The 21,204-nt window shown below is 47.6% G+C and overlaps 1 protein-coding gene across 1 annotated transcript in view, besides 2 other annotated features; it reads right to left on the bottom strand.

Annotated features, from left to right (window-relative positions):
- ADARB2 (adenosine deaminase RNA specific B2 (inactive)) overlaps positions 1 to 21,204 on the bottom strand; it is a 560,213-nt gene that overhangs the window by 462,210 nt on the left and 76,799 nt on the right. The gene's annotated exons all lie outside the window — the stretch shown is intronic.
- Positions 19,593 to 20,146: an enhancer, noted in NCBI's record as "H3K27ac-H3K4me1 hESC enhancer chr10:1701309-1701862 (GRCh37/hg19 assembly coordinates)". NCBI's record gives its function as "activates a minimal SCP1, AML or CMV promoter by ChIP-STARR-seq in naive H9 embryonic stem cells {active_cell/tissue: H9 hESC(naive)}" and the evidence as "EXISTENCE:reporter gene assay evidence [ECO:0000049][PMID:30033119]".
- Positions 20,147 to 20,698: an enhancer, noted in NCBI's record as "H3K27ac-H3K4me1 hESC enhancer chr10:1701863-1702414 (GRCh37/hg19 assembly coordinates)". NCBI's record gives its function as "activates a minimal SCP1, AML or CMV promoter by ChIP-STARR-seq in naive H9 embryonic stem cells {active_cell/tissue: H9 hESC(naive)}" and the evidence as "EXISTENCE:reporter gene assay evidence [ECO:0000049][PMID:30033119]".

The following is a 21,204-nucleotide window of genomic DNA, read 5'->3' on the forward strand; positions in this document are numbered from 1 at the left end:
GGCTCCAACATGACTTCCCGTTCTTATAAAACACAAAGAGGGCCGGGCGCAGTGGCTCACGCCTGTCATCCCAGCACTTTGGGAGGCCAAGGCGAGAAGATCATGAGGTCAGGAGTTCGAGACCATCCTGACCAACATGGTGAAACCTGTCTCTACTAAAATACAAAAAATTAGCTGGGTGTGGTGGCGGGCGCCTGTAGTCCCAGCTACTCAGGAGGCTGAGGCAGGGGAATCACTTGAACCCAGGAGGCGGAGGTTGCAGCGAGCGGAGATCATGCCACTGCACTCCAGCCTGGATGACAGAGTGAGACTCCTCTGTCTCAAACAAAACAAAACAAAGCAAAACAAAACAAACAAACAAACAAACAAACAAAAACATGAAGAGGGCTCAGGCCAAGCCGCAAAGCCATGACCTGCCCTTCTAACAGGCACAGTGGTTCTTTGTGGAACCACTCAGAAAAAAACTTCAGGCCTTAATGGGGTGTTGGCGGGAAGATCTGAAGTGTGTTTTAATCCCACAGCCCGTAAACACTGGATGCCATCGATGAGGGAGCATGGCGGCTATACTTACATACCTCTAGTGATGGGGAACTCACTATCTCCTGAGGGTGTTTTTCTGTTTCTCCCAAGGAAATTTACTCCATCCTTAGCCAGTTTGTTAGAGATTGTACCGTTGTAAAATTCAGTTTAGAAGTCTCGTTTTCCTTGGACAATTATAGTCTTACTCCTTAAGTGGAAGGGGTTGAGTTCAAGCTCTCCTTCTGAACGCCTGCTTCTTTAATAGGGACACACTAGGGAGGGAGGGGTAGATATCATGGTTCCTGTCCAGTATGAGAATCACTAGTGTTGTTGAAAGAAAGTGACAAATAAACAGAACTAATTCTACCTTTTTTAAAGCAGGTTAAAAGCAAGTGTCAGAGCTTGCAGTTTGCTGCCATTAGAGGGGCTCCAGGGGCCCATTTACATTTTGACATAAAATATGAGGAAAACACAATTGAGACAGAAATCATAAAAATGGCGGATGCTCTAAACTAAACCCACAAGTTAAGCTGAACATCTTAAGCATTTTCCAGATAACAAACTACGTAGGTGAATCCTGTTGTTGCCTGGGAGACACACACACACACAAAAACACACACACAGACACAAAAACATGCACACACATAAATGTCTATACACTATAAATATTTTTATGGACAATCTTCTGAAACACTATTAAACTATGAAGTATTTTGTTTGTTTTGTATATCATTTGAAAAATATATTAGTGAGAAGATAGACGTCTCAAAAGGAGACCAATGGTAAATGGTGAATTTTAGTAACAGAAAGTAAAGGATATAAGAAGAAAGCTTAGGGTGAGATGGTGAGGTGAATGTAACGCATCCCGGCTGGACAAAGCTGCCCTGTGGTCTCACTTGGCTACAATTGCAAGATCCGAAATTCACTCTTAGCTAACGTCAGTGAACCCATGAAAAGCTTAGATTCTAGCGAAAAAGTATTCATTGTTTTGTCTTCATTCTTAGTTATCTTTGCTAAAAGGAAAGGTTAGCTAAATCTAAAAAACATTTTCATAAACTACAAATATATATTAAAAATATCTGTAATGGATATGAACACCATGTGTTACCAAGGGTGGATCTCATTATATTATTTAGCACCCGATATAAAATAATTCAATAAAAAGTCTCTGGGCATTTAAATCTGAATCTAGCATTGACAAAGCATGGATTAGCTCCAAAAGGGTCTAAAAGCTGATAAGCTCCAATCAAAGCAACAGCACGAAGTGGTGTGTTTCCACTTTGACCTGCCACGTGCTGACCTATCATAACTGAAGTCAGCTGCTTTATTATAATTTCATAAAAACAAATGATGTGAACAACCCAATATCAGGTCTAAAAACCACATAGGCTGTTGTTTAAACCACAGCATTTTTTGAAGGAAATAAAAGGTCTGTATTTATTTCTAGAACACAGAAGCTACTGGGGTTTTAGCCAGAAACTCATCTGTAGTTAAAAGAGCAGCAGAAAGCTGATTCTTTAAGGTCTTAGGGAGCACCTGTTTCACTGCGTCTTTGCTGCGAGAGTGTGGCTGGGAGACTCTGGCCCCTCCTCCATCTGCACGTCTTACCAGCATCTGCTAGCGTTCTGCTTTCCAAGTTAGTCCGTTAAGATTATTTCCTTATAAATCTTTTTTAAAAAATGTGTTCCTGGCTGGGCGTGGCGGCTCACACCTGTCATCCCAGCACTTTAGGAGGCCAAGGTGGGTGGATCACCTGAGGTCAGGAGTTTGAGACCAGCCTGGCCAACACGATGAAACCCTGTCTCTACTAAAAATACAAAAATTAGTCAGGTGTGGTGGCGGGCGCCTGTAATCCCAGCTACCTGGGAGGCTGAGGCAGGAGAATCACTTGAAACCAGGAGCTGGAGGTTGAAGTGAGCCGAGATGGTGCCACTGCACTCCAGCCTGGGCTACAGAGCGAGACTCCATTTAAAAAAAAAAGTGTTCCTGTTATAACTAATTTACATTTTACCTCAGTGCAAATATTTGACATTTATTATGATTTCTTTTTATTTTTTAGACCAAAAAGTCTCATTCTGTGTATTTGTGCCATTAATGACTTCTTTTGAAAATTTGACCCAAAAGCTCAGAAATCAAAACCAGAACTTGTGTGAGGTCATAAACTTCAAAAGCACACGGATTTTGGCTACCTTATATCAAAAATACTCAAAGCATTGCTTGCCACATTGTCGGTGCTCAATGATTACTTGTTGAATGAACAATCCACCCAAATCCTTTAACTTCAAATCTTCCTGAAACCCGTGAACTTGGCCCTGCAGAAAGGGATGCAGGCACTTCAGTTCCCCTATCTTCCTGGGATGAGTTAAGTATTAGTAAACATCGTCAACAGCAGAGGCAGCCACATGCACGTTTTGGAAAATTTATGTCAGTATTTATTACAATTAAGTATTTCCCAGTTGTTATGGCTCAAATAACATATTATAGCCAATCAGATCATTTGATCAGAAAAAACCACCACATTGGTATAATTTATATAAAATAAAAGCAAGATAAAGAAGGAGCTACTAGAGTTGACCTGCTACCAATAAGTATCACTCACCACAGGGCTTTCAAAATAGCGAATTAGCTCAAGGCCATCTCACCATAGACACTCACACACTCACACACTCACACTCACACATTTACCCACAAACTCACATCCACACTCACATGCACACACACTCACACTCCCTCACTCACACACCCACTCACACTCAGTATTCAGACACACATCCACACTCACACTCACACACACTCGCCCCTTGGCTGTGAACTGCAGGCAGGTATGTTCTGGGTGAAGCGGGAGAGGCAGACGGCCTGCACACTGACCCCTCTAAGTCTAGGAAACCTCCACCCCGCGGCCCCCTCCTAATTAGCAATGACATCAGCATGAACGGATTCCCACTGTGTGCAAGCGCAGGGCCAAGAGGCCTGGGTGTTTATTCAGGTAATGCAACTAATAAACAGGAGGTAGGCACACATCTCCACTTTACACCTGGGGAAACTGAGGCACAGACACCCAAAGGCCATGGGACTGGTGAGCAGCAAAACTGGAATTTAAAACTCATCTCTAATGGACTCTACTCTGCCTTCCCTATTTACGGTGCTACATTAAATAAGACATGCCATCAAACACAGAAAAAACAGATTTCTGCCTAAAGGGTGTTAATGATGTTTTACATGAAAGGGCTGGAATTTCCCTTTTGCAGCGTTTTCAGTACAAAGTCTCTGCACCTATAAACTTAGCCACCTGCAGATGGAAGGTGAATGACTCATTTTTCCCCGCACTCACTTTCATACCAGATGAGGCAACTTCCAGTTACACTTGACGTGTTACATTTTCCCAGACTGGAGGGCTAGAGGCCACTCTTAGGTCAGGGTCACCTGGAGGGTGGCTGATGGTGGGGGGCTAGGGTTACTTCATGATTTCATCCCCCAAAAAACAAAAGCAACAGTGACGTCAGCTTCACCAGTATGGGGAAGTGAGTGAATAAGGTGGAAGAGGGAGCTGCCATGACCTGGGAGAGGCCAGGAAGAACTCAAGTCCTGCTGCGAAGCGCGTCAGAACCACGGACAGCTCCTGGTTCCCTATCCCTTAGGGTGCCTGGGCTTCATGACCACAAAGGTCCCTTCCAGCCTCCGCATGCAGCTCCAAAATCAAGTTTTTTTCTTTTTTTTCTGTACAGAGGCATTGGGGCTAATTTGCTGTCTCTGCAGAAACCCAATCCCAGATCTCTAATTCCAATCCTGAGAATGATTGGAGCCTGCGGAGTGACAGTGACAAGGTGCCTGGTGGATTAGGCTGGTCCCTAGAAAAGTGGATGCTACATTAGGTCAGTAATGTGAAAGTAGGGCGGTGTGATCTCCTCTCCCCAGGCTTCCTCATGGAGAGCTTCATTACCGAATCGCACGCAGCCCACACGGCTGTCTCCCGGCCCCACTCGGCCCAAGGTAAATAAAACTCCAGGTTATCTCAAAGGCAGGAGTGGAAGCAGCTAATGCGGGGAGATGGGGCATTCATTATGCCATTTACACGAGCTGAGGATAAATGATCAAATTCCCTCTGTCAACCACAAAGAGCTCAAGGATAATTTTTAAATGCAGGAAGTATTCCTCCAGGGCTTTTGTATTTTCTTCCTCCAGGCTGCAGCCGCATTTGCGAGTGTGCCAAGCTACGCCACTACTGATTTACTGCGCTGGGAACAGCACTCCATCAATGTCCCCGAGCTGCCATTGCCACCAAGCTCCCCCTGTCCCCGGGCGTCTTTCTTACAGAAGAAAATTATTCACTTGCTTGTATGTTACATGCAAAACAAACTATTTTTAGCTGCCTACATCTGTCACCTCCCTTTGCTATCCAAGCTCGGTCGGGGGAGCAGGGAGAAGGAGAAGGACAAAGGAGAGGGGAATTCTCAAATGTTCTTTAAAAAAGCAAAACGTGCACATGCTGGTGGTGACACAGGTTATCATCGGTGGTGACAGAGAAATGTGCAGGCTGTTCCCATTGCTGTCACATGAGCTTTGTCTTGTCCTGCCAGGCGCCTACGCGGAGTGGACAGTCAATGATGCTGGCGGAGCACAAGCAATTTTTCTTGTCTGTACAAGAAAGGCTCCATGGAGTCTCCTGCTGCTGATGCCTCTCACACTTGTAAGGAGGGTGGGAAGCCTTTCAAATGACTTTTCTGACCGAATGAGAGATTGCATTGGCACTGAATTCCTCTTCTTGAGGTTCTGGATTTTCACTTTGTTTTGTTAATGTTTAAATTTATGACTCGAGATTTCACTCTCAAATAGTGATGGCTAGGGGCTCTTCCAGTGTGACTTTGTCACACTAATTTTCGCAAGCAGTTTTAAGAGTGCGTGTCACGCCTATACAAACACACAAAAAAGAGGTCAAGGTAGACTGTAGAATGCCAGCGTTTGGCTAAGGAGGGTGTTTATGTGGTCAGTGTATATAAAAGGAATGTTATTTTGCAAAAATGCCAACGCATGGAAAACTGGTGTCAGAGAGGAGAATCAGTGGGTCCTGGGATTCTGGCAGGGGATCTGGCCCCCTTTGCAGGCGATGTGGGATGACACAGGGACCAAGGTTCTGAGCACTTAAGACGCTTCAGTCAGATTAGCCAATAGCACGATTCGCTCCATGCTCATTGTTGCATTGCTTACGCATGCATGGCTATGGTACAGCCCACTGGATGGGCTCTAAAGCCTTAGGTGTGGCAGAATCCAAAAAGACTGATTCTATATGTCCCTACTGGGAGGTTAGATGGACCAGGGTAGAGATGCATGCCAGCCCATCGACCTGGAGCCTGCACAGCTATGGAACTCCCACTGCCCCTGCAGTGCCATTGCCTAGCAGAAGTAAGGGGGATGCAACCACTTTGTTACTTCCACATAAAGCCTCTAACTTGACTTCTTGAAGTTTGCAAGAAGCAGCATCCACTTAAAGTCCAACTCTGATTGTGACAGCTTCCTCACCTGGTCTAAGGATGCCTCAGTCACACAAAACCAAAACTCACACCGTCAGTGTATTTAAACGTACATCTAAGCACTCCTCAGACCGGTTGGAGACTCTGTCACATCTAACCCAGCTCTGAGTCCATCCCTGGCACTTGACTGCCTCCCACCTCCCTGCCATCTACACCTCATCTCCATCACGAAACTCTGCAATGTTGAGCTGCCCCCTCTGCCTCTCCTCCTGGAGTTCACTTTAACGCCTATACTCCAATGCTTGGGATCTCTTCTTTTGCTCAAGACATCCCTTTTTCATCCGTCATTCTTCTTCATTTATCAGGTTTATTCATTCATAAACTCAATCAGTCATTCCAGCACAGGGAAGGTGCGCTGTGAGGTGCTGTCTGTCCCTGCCTGGTGGAGCTCACCATCCTGCAGACATGAAACAGATAATGACAAATCACAACCAGAGTGGTGTTAGGAGACGTGTCCCAGGGACACATGAGGATGGCACCCAGTCTGATGCAGAGAGGTCCAGGAAAGGCTCCCAGAGGGAAGATCCCCATGTGGACTCTACAAGGTGCACACAGGTGAGTTAGGGGCAGCTTAAAACCCCTGAGGGATTTCCATTAGGACACACCCAGGTCTATCCACATGGCCCAAGTGCTCTGAAAACGATGTGTCCTGGGGTCCAGCCTAGCTCGTGACAGTTCCCTTTACTGCTGCCATCTTAGCCATGCTGGGCTTTGTCAAGCAGCAAAATGGCATGAAAGCTCAAGCCCCCATGCACACCCAGACCATGTGCATCTTGAGGGACTATTTTCTAGCCTGGGCTCTCTCTCTCTGCATGTTCTTGGCATCCTTTGAATCCACAAACAATGAACAGTGGTCTCATTGAATAGGAAGAGAGCAAATCAGACATTGAAAGAAAAACTAATGGTGTGTGGGTCTTGATGACTATTGGGAAGGGCAGCGGCTTTAGCCGCTGGTGGGCGTGGCTGCACGGTGAACTCACACTGCTGCCAATGCAGTCACAGAAGACAGTCAGGTTGACCCCACTGGCAGCAAAATGCCAGTCTTTCCATCAAGATGAGAGCAGGGCTCTGGACTCAAATCCGAACTTGCAACAGTCCCTTCTAGTCCTAAATTCTCTGCTCTTCACCATTTTGCTATAGCTCAGACAACTCTCTCCCTTTTTGTTCATTTGTTTTCACATGTGGGAGGGGGTGTGTGATGTGCTATTTGAGGTGCTGATGAACTCAGCAAAGACCCTGGAGATACACTGAGTGTGATTGCTGTGTGCTCACCACAAGACACCAGCAACTGAGCATGCACCCTTGGTGCAGTCTTGCCAGTGCCTGCGTGCCTGCGACCAGCATGCAAGAGTTCCTCTGGATCCTAGAAATAAGGTGGCTGTCAGTGAGGGAGGCCAGTGTAAAAATGGAAAGGCCCCACCATTTTTGGGAGGATAAAATCCAAAGGAGAAAACTGTGTGCCGTGTTGCCACCAACACTCGCACGAGTTCCGTCCTCACTGCCAGTGTTATTCATTACAGTGCCTGCTGCTCTGGAGGCATAATTTAAAAAGATGCATTACTGCAGAGACCCTCCCCAAGATAAGTCAGTACTCTGAGGCTCTTTCACTTCAAAGTCTTTTTCCAGGAACGTTAGAAAGAAGAAAGTGCTTTAGAGTTCTTTGTAGAAACATAGACAATTGCAGGATTGCATGAGTCACTATTTTCTGTTAGCTGTGATTTCTTCTACCATTGGCTCCTTATGAAAAAAAAGTGTGTGTGCATATATGTGTGCATGTATATATGTGTGTGTGCACACGTGTGTCTATATATGTATGCGTATACATGTGCATACATGTGTGTGCATATATGTGTATACATATGTGTATACCTGTGTATATACATTTAAATATGTGTATATGTACGTGTGTATACTTGTGTATATACATGTGTATATATATGCCTGCATATATGCATGCATGTGTGTTTATGTGAGTATACATGTGTATATATATATCTGCATGTATGTGTGTGTATAGTGTGTGTATATATGTCTGTGTGGGGATATGTATTTATATGTGTGTGGATATATATGTGTGGGGGTATATGAGTATATATGTGTATGTGTGTATACATGTGTGTATGTGTGCATATATGTGTGTATATGCATGTATGTGCATGCATATGTGTATATATGTATGTGTGTATATGTTGTGTATGTGTGGTGTGTGTATATATGTGTATGCATGTGTATATGTGTGTGTGTATGCATGTGTGTATATGTGTATATATGCATGTGTGTATATGTGTATGTGTGTGTATGTGTGGTGTGTCTATATATGTATGTGTGTATGTATTATATATACAATTTTTAAATTTAGGGTATATCTCGAACTGGAGGCTCCAGTTTATGAGCCTGAAATGCCATTAAACTGGTGTGATAAATTCTAATTGAGTGGATACATGTCTTCTCTGAGAGGGATAATTTAGGGAAATCCAAGAAGACTGCAGTTTAAAGCCACATAGACATGTTAGCAGAAAGTTTAGGAAACTGAAAACACATTTTTATAGTTTTAAAAAGCTTCTGTTTTCTTTTTTCTGAAGTGTAACATTTCTCTGGCTTCTGAACTTCTGCAGGTGATTACATGAAGTTTACACTGTATCTGTGCTGCACTTTCCCCTTTGCTTCCTAAAATAATTCATCTTCCATAGTAACAGTCTCTTCAAAGCAGGATTTATCTCGAACCCTTTCACACACAACCAGGCACAAAGTCACGTTCTTTACCTTGAAGCTGGGACACAGGAAGAGCCGTGGGCTTGATTTCCAGCCTCCTCCTCAAGCATCCCCAGGACCCTTCATAAACGGAATGAACTCGAGCTGGCTCAACTGCTTGTTTTAAAAGTGTGTTTTTTAGGAAATACTTGTTCTGCCATCTCCCCCATAGTTTTACAAAGTAAATCACGTTGTGCTTGGAATCGTCCCTGCCTACGCTCGAGAACTGTTCACTTAGAAAATAAACATGTGGGTAAGCATTGGTCCATACGTATAAGCGATCAAGAGACCCTGGCCCCCGTGGAAACATGTTTTCAGGCAATCCAGCTCTGGTACTCTTTGAGCTGCCTTTCTATTTTACGGCATGTTCAGAAGATGAATCTACCATTACGCTGACTAACGAAGTCTAGTCATAGCGATAGCGGTGTCTTAGCAGCAGAAGTGATGGTTGGTTAACTGAGCGTGTTTTAGACGCCATCTGCATTACAAAGTATCTTCCATGGGGTAGGCCATGGAGTCAGCACCACTGTTCTCGAGGGGCAGTCTCTAGCTCCTCATCTTACAAGGGCAACTGACGCTGACATTCAACAACTGGTGCAATGTCAGCTGCAGGCGAGTAGGTGGAGCAGGACCTACTCAGCACCAGGCGGGCTGCCCCTCCACAGTTTGCGGTGATAATAAGGCACTTTACAGAGGATGCTACCATACTTGGTATAGAAATCTTGAAAAAGTGGATGCTCCGGTGAAGCTCAGAGAGGCTGTGTGGGGTACCCGGGGTGCACAGGCACGGACCTCAGACGCAAACTCAACACATTCATGCCCATCTTTCCATTTATGTTTGGTTGGATCAGCCTAATTTGCTTGTATGGAATGAAATTCAGAAAAAAAAGAAGGATGATTTATTTTTACAGCCTTTGAAATGTCCTTAGTCATGTACTTGTACTTGGTTTGAAATCGTATCATAAATTGGAATCAGGGAATTTGAAGGGAATTTTCAAAGTCCCTTGTGACTCTACATGTGCAATCTTCAGCATCGAGTATTCCCCAATTTTCCACAGGGGATACACTTTTCTATCATGATCTGGGCCCCTGTCCTGCCCTTCAGCCACAGTTCATCTTTCCTGACCATTCTGTCCTATGATAACGTCTCCCTTTAATTTTCTCCGTGGCTCATTTGACAGCTAACCTGTGTCCACTTTTCTGTTTTAACAGCTAGCTTCTTTACACAAGGTATGGGTGTCTCAAATGTTTAGGCACATATGTGAAATTCTAATTGGTTGATTGCTTTGCCAGAAATGACCCTATAACCTGGGCCAGATTACCAGATGTGCCAGAGTGTGCTCCAGTCGGTGGGATATGCCCCTGGGCCAGCCAGGGTGTATCTCAGCCAGACAGCCACAAGATGCAGTGCTGGACACCCCAGTCCTGAGTTGATGGAGCTGCTGACTTTCTGGGTTTCAGCTGTATCATCAGTAAGAGTGCTGTATCTATTCAGGCAGAGGAGATGGTCTCTCCAGCTCCACTAGAGATCTTAGATCTGTGATGCACAGGTAATTACTCCTAAAATTACCTGAGACGATTTCTGAAATCATGAGGGAGTGGCTTCCTGAGGAGCGATGATTACACAAACCCGGGAGGACCTGGAGGTCCTGCTTCTGTCACTGGCTGGGCTGCGTATCATACCTTTTCATAACTACAAACCCTCCCTGAAGGTCTTCCCAAGGTGAAATATCCAAGAACAAGTAGACTGTATTTGCTCTTGCTGTTGTTCCCCATGGTGGACGCTTGCCATAAATATGGTGGTGGTGTCTGCAAGACTGGCTACGTTCATGACTGCTCTCACATGCTTTTCTGAAGCATAGATTAAGTGGCAGCTCTACAAAGAGTGAGATTTATAGCCTAGTTTATGTTTTTTGGGGGTAAGAAATTCTTCAGTGTTTCTAGAAGCTACTTAACCTTGGTTGATGTCACTTAAAGGAGAGGAAAATTCTGGGTTTGCAAGGGGAGCCTCCTGGTGTTTTGAGTAGGTCAGCATCCACATTACCAGATGGTAAAGACACTTTGCTAGGACCTTTGACAAGCTAAGTACTCGAGGGGCTGTGATACTGAAGGGGGTGGAGAATGGAGGTGGCTCATAAATAATGTGGTGCTGGTAGGCTGCAGCCCAGACATGACCACAGCGCAGGGAAACGCACCTCCGCCAGTCTTGGCGAACTTCACAGCACCTTCCCATACAAAAGTGGCAGATACTGATCTAACTGCATCAGAAGTCCTTGCTATCGGTCCGTGAAAGGTCTAAGTTAATCTGTCCCTTACTATCTTAAATTAAACGGGCACATGACTCCACCGACCGTCCACGAGGTCTTTCCTGGAGTGAAGCTTTAATTCTCTGTCCGCCCACTGCAGTCCCGGATAGGGGAGTAAGAAGGTCTGACAGTTAATGACACTTGAGGAAGATGTGCGTGCCTGGAGCTTCTCAGCAGTGGGACATTTGCCCCTAGCAGAGGGTCGAGGGACACTGGCAAATGCTGACGTGGATGTAGCACGGTCACCAAAACCCCGCGTGTCCGAGATGGTGGAGCAGCTTTTCCCGGCTCATGTGAGGGCTGGCCAGCCACACAGCACCAGGCTGACTTTAGCAGCTTGGTCTCCCAAGCCGAGGCTATCTGAAGGACACCAGAGAGCTGCGTTTCTCCTTCTGTGCCAAGGTGAACACACAACGCTTCAGATGTTCCGCTCTCCCCTCGTGAGACAGACGGCCCGGCTTCTGTGTGGCTTTGGGGATGGGAGTGCCAGTCACTGGCCACAGAATGACAAATTGCCTCCCTGCCAATATCAGAGCAGGGACAGTTCTCGCCACAGCGTCCTCCAGATGGGCCCAATTAAACTATTAGCCAATGAGCAAGGTCTGATGGCTCCATTAGGAACCACCCTGTGCTTAAATAAACAGCTCAGAATACATAGTTTCTCCATCGAGCCCTGGCTCGGCGAAGGCCCCATCTGGGCAAGGTCTCCAAGGTTGGCCCTGGCGAGCCCCAGGGGGTGTTGGGGTGGCTGGGGCAGGCCGCCCTCCCTGGTTCTCAGGGTCCTGCAAGCCACACCGCAGTGGGTGATGTGAGAGAGGGGGCAGCACCCCCACCTGCCATGGCCAGGGCCAAGTTCTCCACCAGCTGCACCCCTTTGCTTGTGCACGCCTAGACAACCACACTCCCTGACTGGATGGAACTTCCAGAACCAGCCCCTGACCTCAGCACACTAGTCCCTTGCCAGCTGTCTTTCCCACATACAGAAATTTCAGGCCCGTGCTGTTTGGCTGTTCATCATTTGTAATTACTGCCAAGCAAGGGGCACATTTCGTGCAGAATAAATGAAGACAGCAGACAGCGAAGCGGGGCCTTACTGCCTGAGCGTGGTGGGCGTGACTCTCGGGGGGAGCGGGGGCTGCCTGCTTATGGGTGCTGCTTTCTCTCTGCCCGTGAAGGTGACCATCACACAGGCCCAGGGCCCCTCAGGGCTCTTCTCACCCCCACACGACCCAGGGTTGGTTCCCAGTGGGAGCAGAGCCTGCCCAGGAGAGACCGCTATCTCCACTGGTCCAGCTTACACAAAGATCCATCGAAAAGCATCAGTTCTTGAGAAAAACGACACTATAAATAAAATGGTTTTCAATACAGAGAGCTGGGCTCCATCAACCCTGCTGAGATCCTTGGGGACGGGGCTGCGCCTTTCTCTTTGTGATTATGGTCACTGTATTCCAGTAATTTGGGTGAACTCTGATTGGCCATCCAATATCTTTGATGTTCTAGGAGGTCACACACTGCAAAAAGCAAAGCGGGTCTGTCCCCTGCTTGCTTCTATTGGGAGGGGCCACCTCACGCCCTGCAGCACAGCCCTGGCCAGTGACAGCTCAGCATGGCTGCCCAGTCTCAGCTTTTAACTGGGGCATCTGTTCTGCAAATGCTCCTGAGCACCCACTGTGCACCGGCCCTGCTAGGGACGTAGCAGTGACCAGGACTGCCAAGGCCCCTACTGGGTTTAATTCATTCCGTGTAATCTCAGGCTGCTGCCAGCTCCCGGGAAGACCAAGCCATCTGTGCTCCTCCCGGGAGCATCCCACTTCCTTTCCAGAGCTCGGGGCTCACCTTTTGGATTCTGTCCTCCTACCACTGACATCTGCTCTTAGGGGAGGAAGAGAAACTTCCTCGGGGGGCAAATGAGAAATAGCTAATTTGTGCGGTGTGCAAAAGAAAGTCATTGCTTGCTAGAATTGTTGCTATGATTTTTCCTTATTCATTAATTTCCTTTTGCTACTGGGTAGCATATTGTTGTTCTTGGTTTGTGTTGACCTTTTCAGTCCTCATGAAAACAAGCCGTCCTGAGGCAGGCCTTCTTTGCACAGGTCAGCATCAGCAAGGAAGGCTCATTACCCATTTTTAATGCAGTTAGATGGTGCTGAACTTGACTGTGTGCTTTCACTCCAAGATTTGCCCTCTTATCACCCCCCAAGACTAAGGTCTTGGCCTAGGACTGATAAACAAACCAGCCGATCCGTGACAGTGATGGAAGGGTGCGTGTGTGCAGAGTTGGGGGGCATGCACGCTTTCTCTGCTCTACTCCTCTTCTGCCAAGGCCAGTGTCCTCCCTGAGATGCCAAGCCCCTCAGACGATGGAGGCCTCCTCCCCCCTGGGATCCTGATGACAACCATCTCAGGCACCCAATCACAGAGTGCTTGGAAATGGCCACTTAGAGCTTCCCTGCAAAAGGGTGGCTGATCCCAATGTGAGGCTGTTGTTGTCTCCAAGGGCCACCTTCCCACGGAGGTGACTTGCACGAGGGTGTCAGCGTCCAGGGGAAATATGGGGCTGCTGCCACAGCCTAGAGACAGACAGGAGATGGCGAGGAGGGAGACTGGTGCCCAGGCGCTGGCTTGCCTGGGGTCCCAGTCATGGCAGAAGGACTTGGGGAGACAGCATGGAACAGGAATCCCTGCTCAGAGCTGCTGTTGAGACACAGAAAGAACCTCCCTTGCTGGTGTCTGGCAGAGGGTGTTGATGACAGTCCAGGGGCATGAAGAGGCTGGGGTTTGAGGCTGCTGTAGGCTCTGTGGGGTCCCAGGAATGTTGGGGGGCCCAGGAATGTGCCCACTTTCAATCTTGGTCAGCGCTCTCCACCCGACGCCTTGTGTGCCTGCAGAGCCGCAGTCTCCACCAGACGCCTCGTGTGCCTGCAGAGCCACAGTCTCCACCCCACGCCTCATGTGCCTGCAGAGCCACAGTCTCCACCCAACGCCTTCTGTGCCTGCAGAGCCGCAGTGTCCACCCAACACCTTCTGTGCCTGCAGAGCCGCAGGGTCTGGGTTTTGTGGCACCACATGTTCGGTCTCATCTCCTCCCAAATCCTGTTAAATTTCCCTGAATTTAGGACCAGGCCCAATGCCATGGACACAGTAGACCCTCAATAAATGAGTAATCAAATTGATGGTGAAGAACTGATTTTTTTTCCTGTTAACCCTCCCTAGCAGGGTTTTTATTAATGGGGTTTTCAGCAGCTTGCGATTGAAAGGCCGCCTTGCCCCAGGGTACAATGAAGTCAGGACCCCCAGGAGGGAGGCTCCGTGTGGCTGGGGGAGGGGAGTAACAGAATGAGCATAAAATCGCAGGGAGATGCCCCACAGCTGCCCCGGGGGTCCTGGGGGCTGGCTCTGTGGAGGTAGAGGAGCAGAGGTGCCTTCAGCATCCGATGCTCCTGCCTGTGTCTGGGTCTCCTCTCCACGCCTGCTCCTTCCCCATCACCCTGTTCTCTGTGGCCATTGCAGGTGTTGTAAGCCACATCAAATCCACTTGAAATGGGGTGAAATGAATCTACCAATACCTGAATCAGTCAGTAGCAACCTGAGGTGATCATGTAGTTTTCTGGTTGCCTGAGGCTTGCATTTCAGGCTCAGCTTCAACAGGTTCCAGTGGCCATGGGGACAGGAAGTGCACGCCTCCCCCGAGGGTCTTAGCTCACCCAAGGCTGCAGTGTGAGGGCCACATTTCCTGGGGGCCACCCCATGGCACTGGCTACCCCAGGGGTGCTGAGACAGGCCTGTTCCTGGAGACCACCTAGACCCTCCAATATCACCTGCTTCTGTCTAAGCTCTGAAATCCCCTTCCGGCGTGGTGGTGCCTCCCCTGTGCAGCCCCACCCAGAACCCCTCTTTCCACCTGTGCAGTGTGCCCCAGCTTCCCCGCAGGGTGGCAGTTCAGGGCTCACTCCCCAGCTTCCCACTTACTGCCCACCTACCCCTCTAGACAGAGGTTCTGCCAGGGCGGGGCTTTCCTGTTTCCTTTGGTTCTGTCAGATCCCAGCATGGACCGATCCCGAAGTGCAGTCCCTCAGAGGGTGGAGTGGGCATTTATGTGGGCTATTTGGTAATGGCAGCAATGTCGCCTCTCCCTGACGACTCTACCAGGTTGGCCCTGCATGCTTCTGTGTGCTGCAGGTGAGCTTGGCTCATGGCTGCTGATCACTGCAGCCCCTTCCCAGCCACACGCCAGGCCCAAGGTGATGCATGCTGGGCCATGCCAGGCACCTGTGATGAAATGCTCAGTTGTGTGAAGGTGCTGGCCAGCCCACGAGAGCTGGAATGCCAGAGTCACATTCAGTTACAAGGTGGAGCCATCAGCACAGCAGGCAGGCGTGAGGGTGAGGACGCGGTCGGGAGGAATCTCACTTCCCCTGCAGACCCTTGGGAGAGATGCAGGGGACACAGGGCGAGGACTGGGAGGTGAGGTTCCAGCAGGGGCAGGGTTAGCCCTGCATGGGGCCTTTCCTTGAGGTTTCTCTGTAGGGTGTCCCCTGAGCCCTGAGGCCACACCCCTTGGCTGCTGAACCTGCCTGTGCTATGACAGTTCATTGTCCTGGACAATAAGGCACTAGAACAGAGGGGGTGTTGATAATTAAGCCAAGCTCCATGCTGTGGAAAGCGGGTGCCCACTCAACACCCCAGGGTCTAAGGGGACGTGGCAGGTTTCACTCCCAGACTGGCCCTAATGCAGAAGAGAAGGGAGAAACCACCAGGTTCCCACATTGCCATCCAGGCATCTTTTCCGGGCTGAGTTTTCTGCAAGGCTTGTCGGGTCCATCAGAGGTAAAAACTGCAACGCACACCTAATTATACCTAATTTGCTATTGATTAACTATTTATTCTAACAGAACCACTGTAAAACTGTCCTGTGTGTTTAACTATCAAAATAAAGGAGTGCTGGCACCTTCTGCATTTTCAAACATTCTATGCTCTAGGTCAAAGTTCAGCATTTTTATTGACTCTAAACAGGAGATGGAAAACCACATTAGAAAAAGTGGAATTAAAAAAAAAAAGAAAACTGGAAATGCCTTTTTATTAGAAAATGGCCTCATGGGCATGGCTGGCTTTCAGGAGTAAGTTCATGGAGGATCCCTTTTGATGTGTCAGTACTGGAACAAGCGAGGTTTTGAGTATTTTCAGTAGCATCTTTGTTCAAAGTTAATCTTGTGGATATCAAACCACCTCTTGGAAGGAGGAAGAATATCTATTTTCATGTTTACATTACAAAAGAGCTTATAAATTAGTGGGTTTCACTAAAAGTTGTATTGAAGTAAGCTGTGGGTTTTGTGTGAGGTGTGAGGTGTGCCCACACACCTATATATCTCGTTTATCTAGCTTCATCCAGACAAAACAGTGTTCACATTTAATTTTTCAGATAACTGAAATAAAGCTGTCTAAGAGTAAAGTCTTTATAAAATTGTAAGCACTTTTATTAATGCACTTCTGGGATATTTTTCTTACTCCCCCTGCTTTTGAAAACAGAAACTACATCATAACGTAATCTTTTAAAGGTACTACATCGCCAAAATGGGCATCAATTAAAACCCTGGAAAGTAACTTTGAAATAATCCCCCTTGTGTTAGTAGAACAATGTATGCTCATCTGGGGCCTCAGATGACGTCGAACCTAGGGACTCATGGCGTCTCCTCCACCAGGAATCCCTGCCAGCCTCCCAGGGTCCACGTGTAATTCTACTTTTCTCTTCTGCCATGACTCCTAGCCCAAAGACAAATACTTCTTTGCAATCTCATATTGTGCTAATTTTACAACATCTGATATTTTTGGGGTGGTATTAGATAGCTTCACTTTCATACTGGTTGAGAGGTTGGGGGAAAGAGAGAGAGGGAAAGAGAGAAAAAGGGAGAGAGAGAGAGAGAGAGCTGCTAATAATATACAACTCTATTCCTCTAGTGCGTGGTCTTGTGAATGACGCACACTTGTTGCATAAAAGGCCTTTCTCTTCATATTGGGGTGTTGGCTATGACTTGAGATTTGGGACTCTCACGCGTCTTCATGTGGGATGTGCCAGCTTTGACTCTGTGACTAGAACTGACTTCTTTAGGCCAATGTGCTCAAAGATAATAATGGTAATTAATCTTTTTTTAATGTGCCTATTATATATGGGAAGGTTATCTTAAAATTAAAATTATCTTCAAGGCTTATTTATCCTGTTGCCCAGAGAATGCTGTGGATTTTTTTTCCATGCCATGAAGTAGAGGCATTAGGATGGGCCAGAAAAAAACAAAGCAAATTCCTTCAAAGATAAGATACTTTAAGTTGAAAAATCAAGGAACTCTCTCTTCCTAAAGCAGTGGTACCCATCTAGTGTTTTGTGTGTGTGTGTGTGTGTGTGTGTGTGGTGTTTAACAAAAGTTCTCATAAAACTTAGGGTTTCTGATTAACTCAGTGATGCCAAATTCTATTTTTTTTTTCCACAACGTACACCATAGAAAGCATGCAGCCTTGTGAAAAGTTCGAAAAGAGGTCTTCAGATTCAGAGTCTCCAGGTGGCCAATTTCTTCTGATCTAGATTTTCAAAAAAGTATGAAAGCAGCAAAAAGTTATTAAGCAAAGCTCAATGGCACAGCTCAACTTCAGTACGTTGCTTCTTGTAGTACTGCAAATTCTAATTAATGGCTTGCTCATTGCACACAGGAAGTGAGATTTAGCCTAGGGAAAAGAAAGCAAGGAGTAACTCAAGGAATTTGATAAATCATATTTTTTTATGTTTAAAATTCCTTCTTTTTAAAAGCGGTGAAAATGTAACACTTTCTCTTCCTCTTACTGGAAATTTTCAAATAATTTTGTCTTTCCTCCTCTCTTGGCCTCAGACAGATTATGGAGATAATGCACTCACCATCTCTCTCCCCTCTGAAGCCACGGTTTCCTGAAGGTCTCCCATTTCTGGAGTCTCTCGAGGCCTCCAACAGAAGGCAGCATCTCCTGTGCTGCAGGCGGTTACCAAGTAACAGACCTCAGAAGCCTTCCAAGGTCCAAGGATGTAAATGCAGTATGTCCTCTAAGCCGAGCGCAGGGTGCTGGAATCCGAGAGCCAGGGGCCATGGTGAGAGCTTCCTTTGCTGGGAGGCATGGATGGGATGAACTCCCTGGAGGTGGAAGGGCAGCCTCCCTCCCGGTCTTTCTCTCCTGTCTCTCCCTCTCTATCTCTGTCTCTGATTCTCTCTCTTTCTCTCTGCTCTCAGTTTCTCTCTGGTTCTGTTTCTCCCCGTCTCTGTCTCTCTTTATCTGATTCTCTGTCTCTCTTTATCTGATTCTCTGTCTGTGTCTGCCTCAGTCTCTCTCTATCTCAGTCTCTCTCTCTCTTTCTGTGTCTCTCTGTCTCTTATCTGATCCTGTGTGTGTCTGTGTATCTCTTCTGTCTCTACTGTCTCTCTCTGTGTCTCTGTGTCTCTCTGTCTGATTCTCTCTCTCTGTCTCTATCTGATTCTGTCTGATGCTGTCTCTCTCTCTCTCTGTATCTTATTCTCCCTGTCTCTCTCTGTGTCTCTCTATCTCTATCTGATTGTCTTTTTCTGTCTCTCTCTGTCTCTATCTGATTCTCTCTCTCTCTGTATGTCTCTCTGTCTGATTCTCTCTGTTTTTCTCTGTCTCTCTCTCTATGTAGCTCTTCTGTCTCTCTCTATCTGATTCTGTCTCTCTCTGTCTCTATCTGATTCTCTGATTCTCTCTGTTTTTCTCTGTCTCTCTGTGTATCTCTTGTCTTTCTCTGTCTCTATCTGATACTGTCTCTGTCTGATTCTCTCTGTTTTTCTCTCTCTGTGTATCTCTTTTCTCTCTCTGTCTCTGTCTGATTCTGTCTGTCTCTTTTTCTGTCTCTATCTGATTCTGCCTGATTCGCGTCTCTCTCTGTCTCTGATTCTCTCTGTCTCTCTATCTCTCTCTCACTCCATTGGCATCAGCACAGGACCCAGTGGTGCAGGGGAAGCTCCCAGCCATACAGGACAAGCCTCTGTCACGACAGCCCTTGCTGGTGTCTGCATCAGGAGGTCTCCTTGGCGATGAGGTCTAAGGAGCAACTGGCATCAGAACAGAGCCTCCAACCTGCCTTAGGTCGTCAAGACTTTGAAGCAAGAGCCTCAGATGCAATTAGCAGGACCTGCCTTTGTGTCGTGTGCTCTGAGCTAGTCTCGCGGAGGCTGCTATTGTTTGGGGTTCAGCTGTCAGTATTGTTATCCTGCAAAATCTCTGAATTTCCACTTCTCTGTCCAAGTGCCATGAAGCCAGCCAAGTGGGGAGAAAGGGTTCTTCTGAGATTGATTTTTTCCCAGACACTGTGGTTCTGTTCAATTGAATTCACTCAAGTTGTGGTTAACATAAGCACTACGGAGAGTATGACATGTCAAATTAGCAGCTTTGCAAATCTCCTGTTAATTGTCAGCCTAATTAAAAAATTGCTAATTATAATGTTTATAACTTCAAATAACTGCTCAGCTATAAAGTAGGCCTGTCAGGTGTAACACAGGGGACTGGAGGGAAAAAGTCAATCGACATCTGTTAATTTATCAGCGGCAGTATACCAAATTGAAAAATAGATTGCCTATTGCACTGTAAATCTGCATTACAATGAAAAGACCGAATCATTCCACACCTGCTAAATAAACGGGGATGGGAGTCCTTCCTGGCCTGCCCCGGGCTCCTCTGCTGCTCACATCCCCGTCCTGTCTATGAGCTGGGGGAAGGCCGGAGCCAGGCACAGGGACAGAAAATGGGGGTCCCCACGCGACATCTAAAAAACGAAAAAACCAAACTGACTAAAACGTGCACAGAAACACGATTCAGACAGTGGGAGCGGGGTGATCCCTCTTCCCTGGAAGGAGCCTGGAGCCCCACTGCCGGCCCCGGTCACTTTAGTCTGAATTCTCAGCGCGTCTCCAGCTGCAGAACGATGAGGCTGGAATACAACGCCTTTGTCTCTAAGATCCGGGCAATCCCAGCCCAACTTTCAGAGCCTGGTGAACTCGCCTATGCCCACATCTGCAGGGGTAGCTCCTGCTGGGCCCTGCCCCATCTGGGCAACCCATCATGCTGCTTCCAGTAGTTCCTCCGCCTGCCTTCCCTCCTCTCCTCCAGTGTCCTGTGAGACTCCGGGGCAGGGGCTGTCTCCACCCTCTTCCTCCATTGCCTGCCCTGCCTGGGCGACCCATCATGCTGCTTCTGGGTTCATCTGCCTGCCTTCCCTCCTCTCCTCCAGTGTCCTGTGAGACTCCGGGGCAGGGGCTGTCTCCACCCTCTTCCTCCATTGCCTGCCCTGCCTGGGCGACCCATCATGCTGCTTCTGGGTTCATCTGCCTGCCTTCCTTCCTCTCCTCCACTGTCCTGTGAGACCCCGGGGCAGGGGCTGTCTCCACCCTCTTCCTCCATTGCCTGCCCTGCCTGGGCAACCCATCATGCAGCTTCCTGGTTCATCCGCCTGCCTTCCTTGCTCTCCTCCAGTATCCTGTGTCCACCCTCCTCCTCCATCGCCCCCTTCCAGTCTGGGGAGTGGAGCATGCAGAATAGAAGCTCCCTGTGACCGAGCCTGTGCTCACAAAGCACTGGCTACTTCCTGGAGGATAATCATCAATCCCCTTCTGCAGGTGCACTAACAGCACTTGGGTGTTGTTTAGTTTGGTTCAACAAACATTTATTGAGCATTTCACTCTGTGTCAGAAATTATTAATTATTAATATATTCAGATGAGGGAAGCAAAGTCGGTCGTAAGGTCCCACCTTTGGGAAGTTTACAGATGAGTGTGACTATGTATGTTGGATTAAACTGGGGTGGAATGGTGGCCAGTCATGTCAGCCACAGGTAACTGCATGTAATGAGGGGTAAAGAAGGAACGAATAGCTCCAGTATCTGGGGCTCCAGAGCCCCTGGGATTTTGCCCTGTCAACCAGAACACGTAAGGCCCAAGACCCCAGAAAAAGGGTGGATTTGTCTTATAATTGTGCCCCTCTGATGTTTCCTGTTGGGACCCCGTGTATCAGGTGAGCAGTAGCAGAGTTGGATCCAGTGTCGGGGTATCCATGGACACCTGCCCATCCCCAGCCCTG

Source organism: Homo sapiens, chromosome 10, assembly GCF_000001405.40.
Source record: "Homo sapiens chromosome 10, GRCh38.p14 Primary Assembly".
NCBI classification, from domain to species: domain Eukaryota; kingdom Metazoa; phylum Chordata; class Mammalia; order Primates; family Hominidae; genus Homo; species Homo sapiens.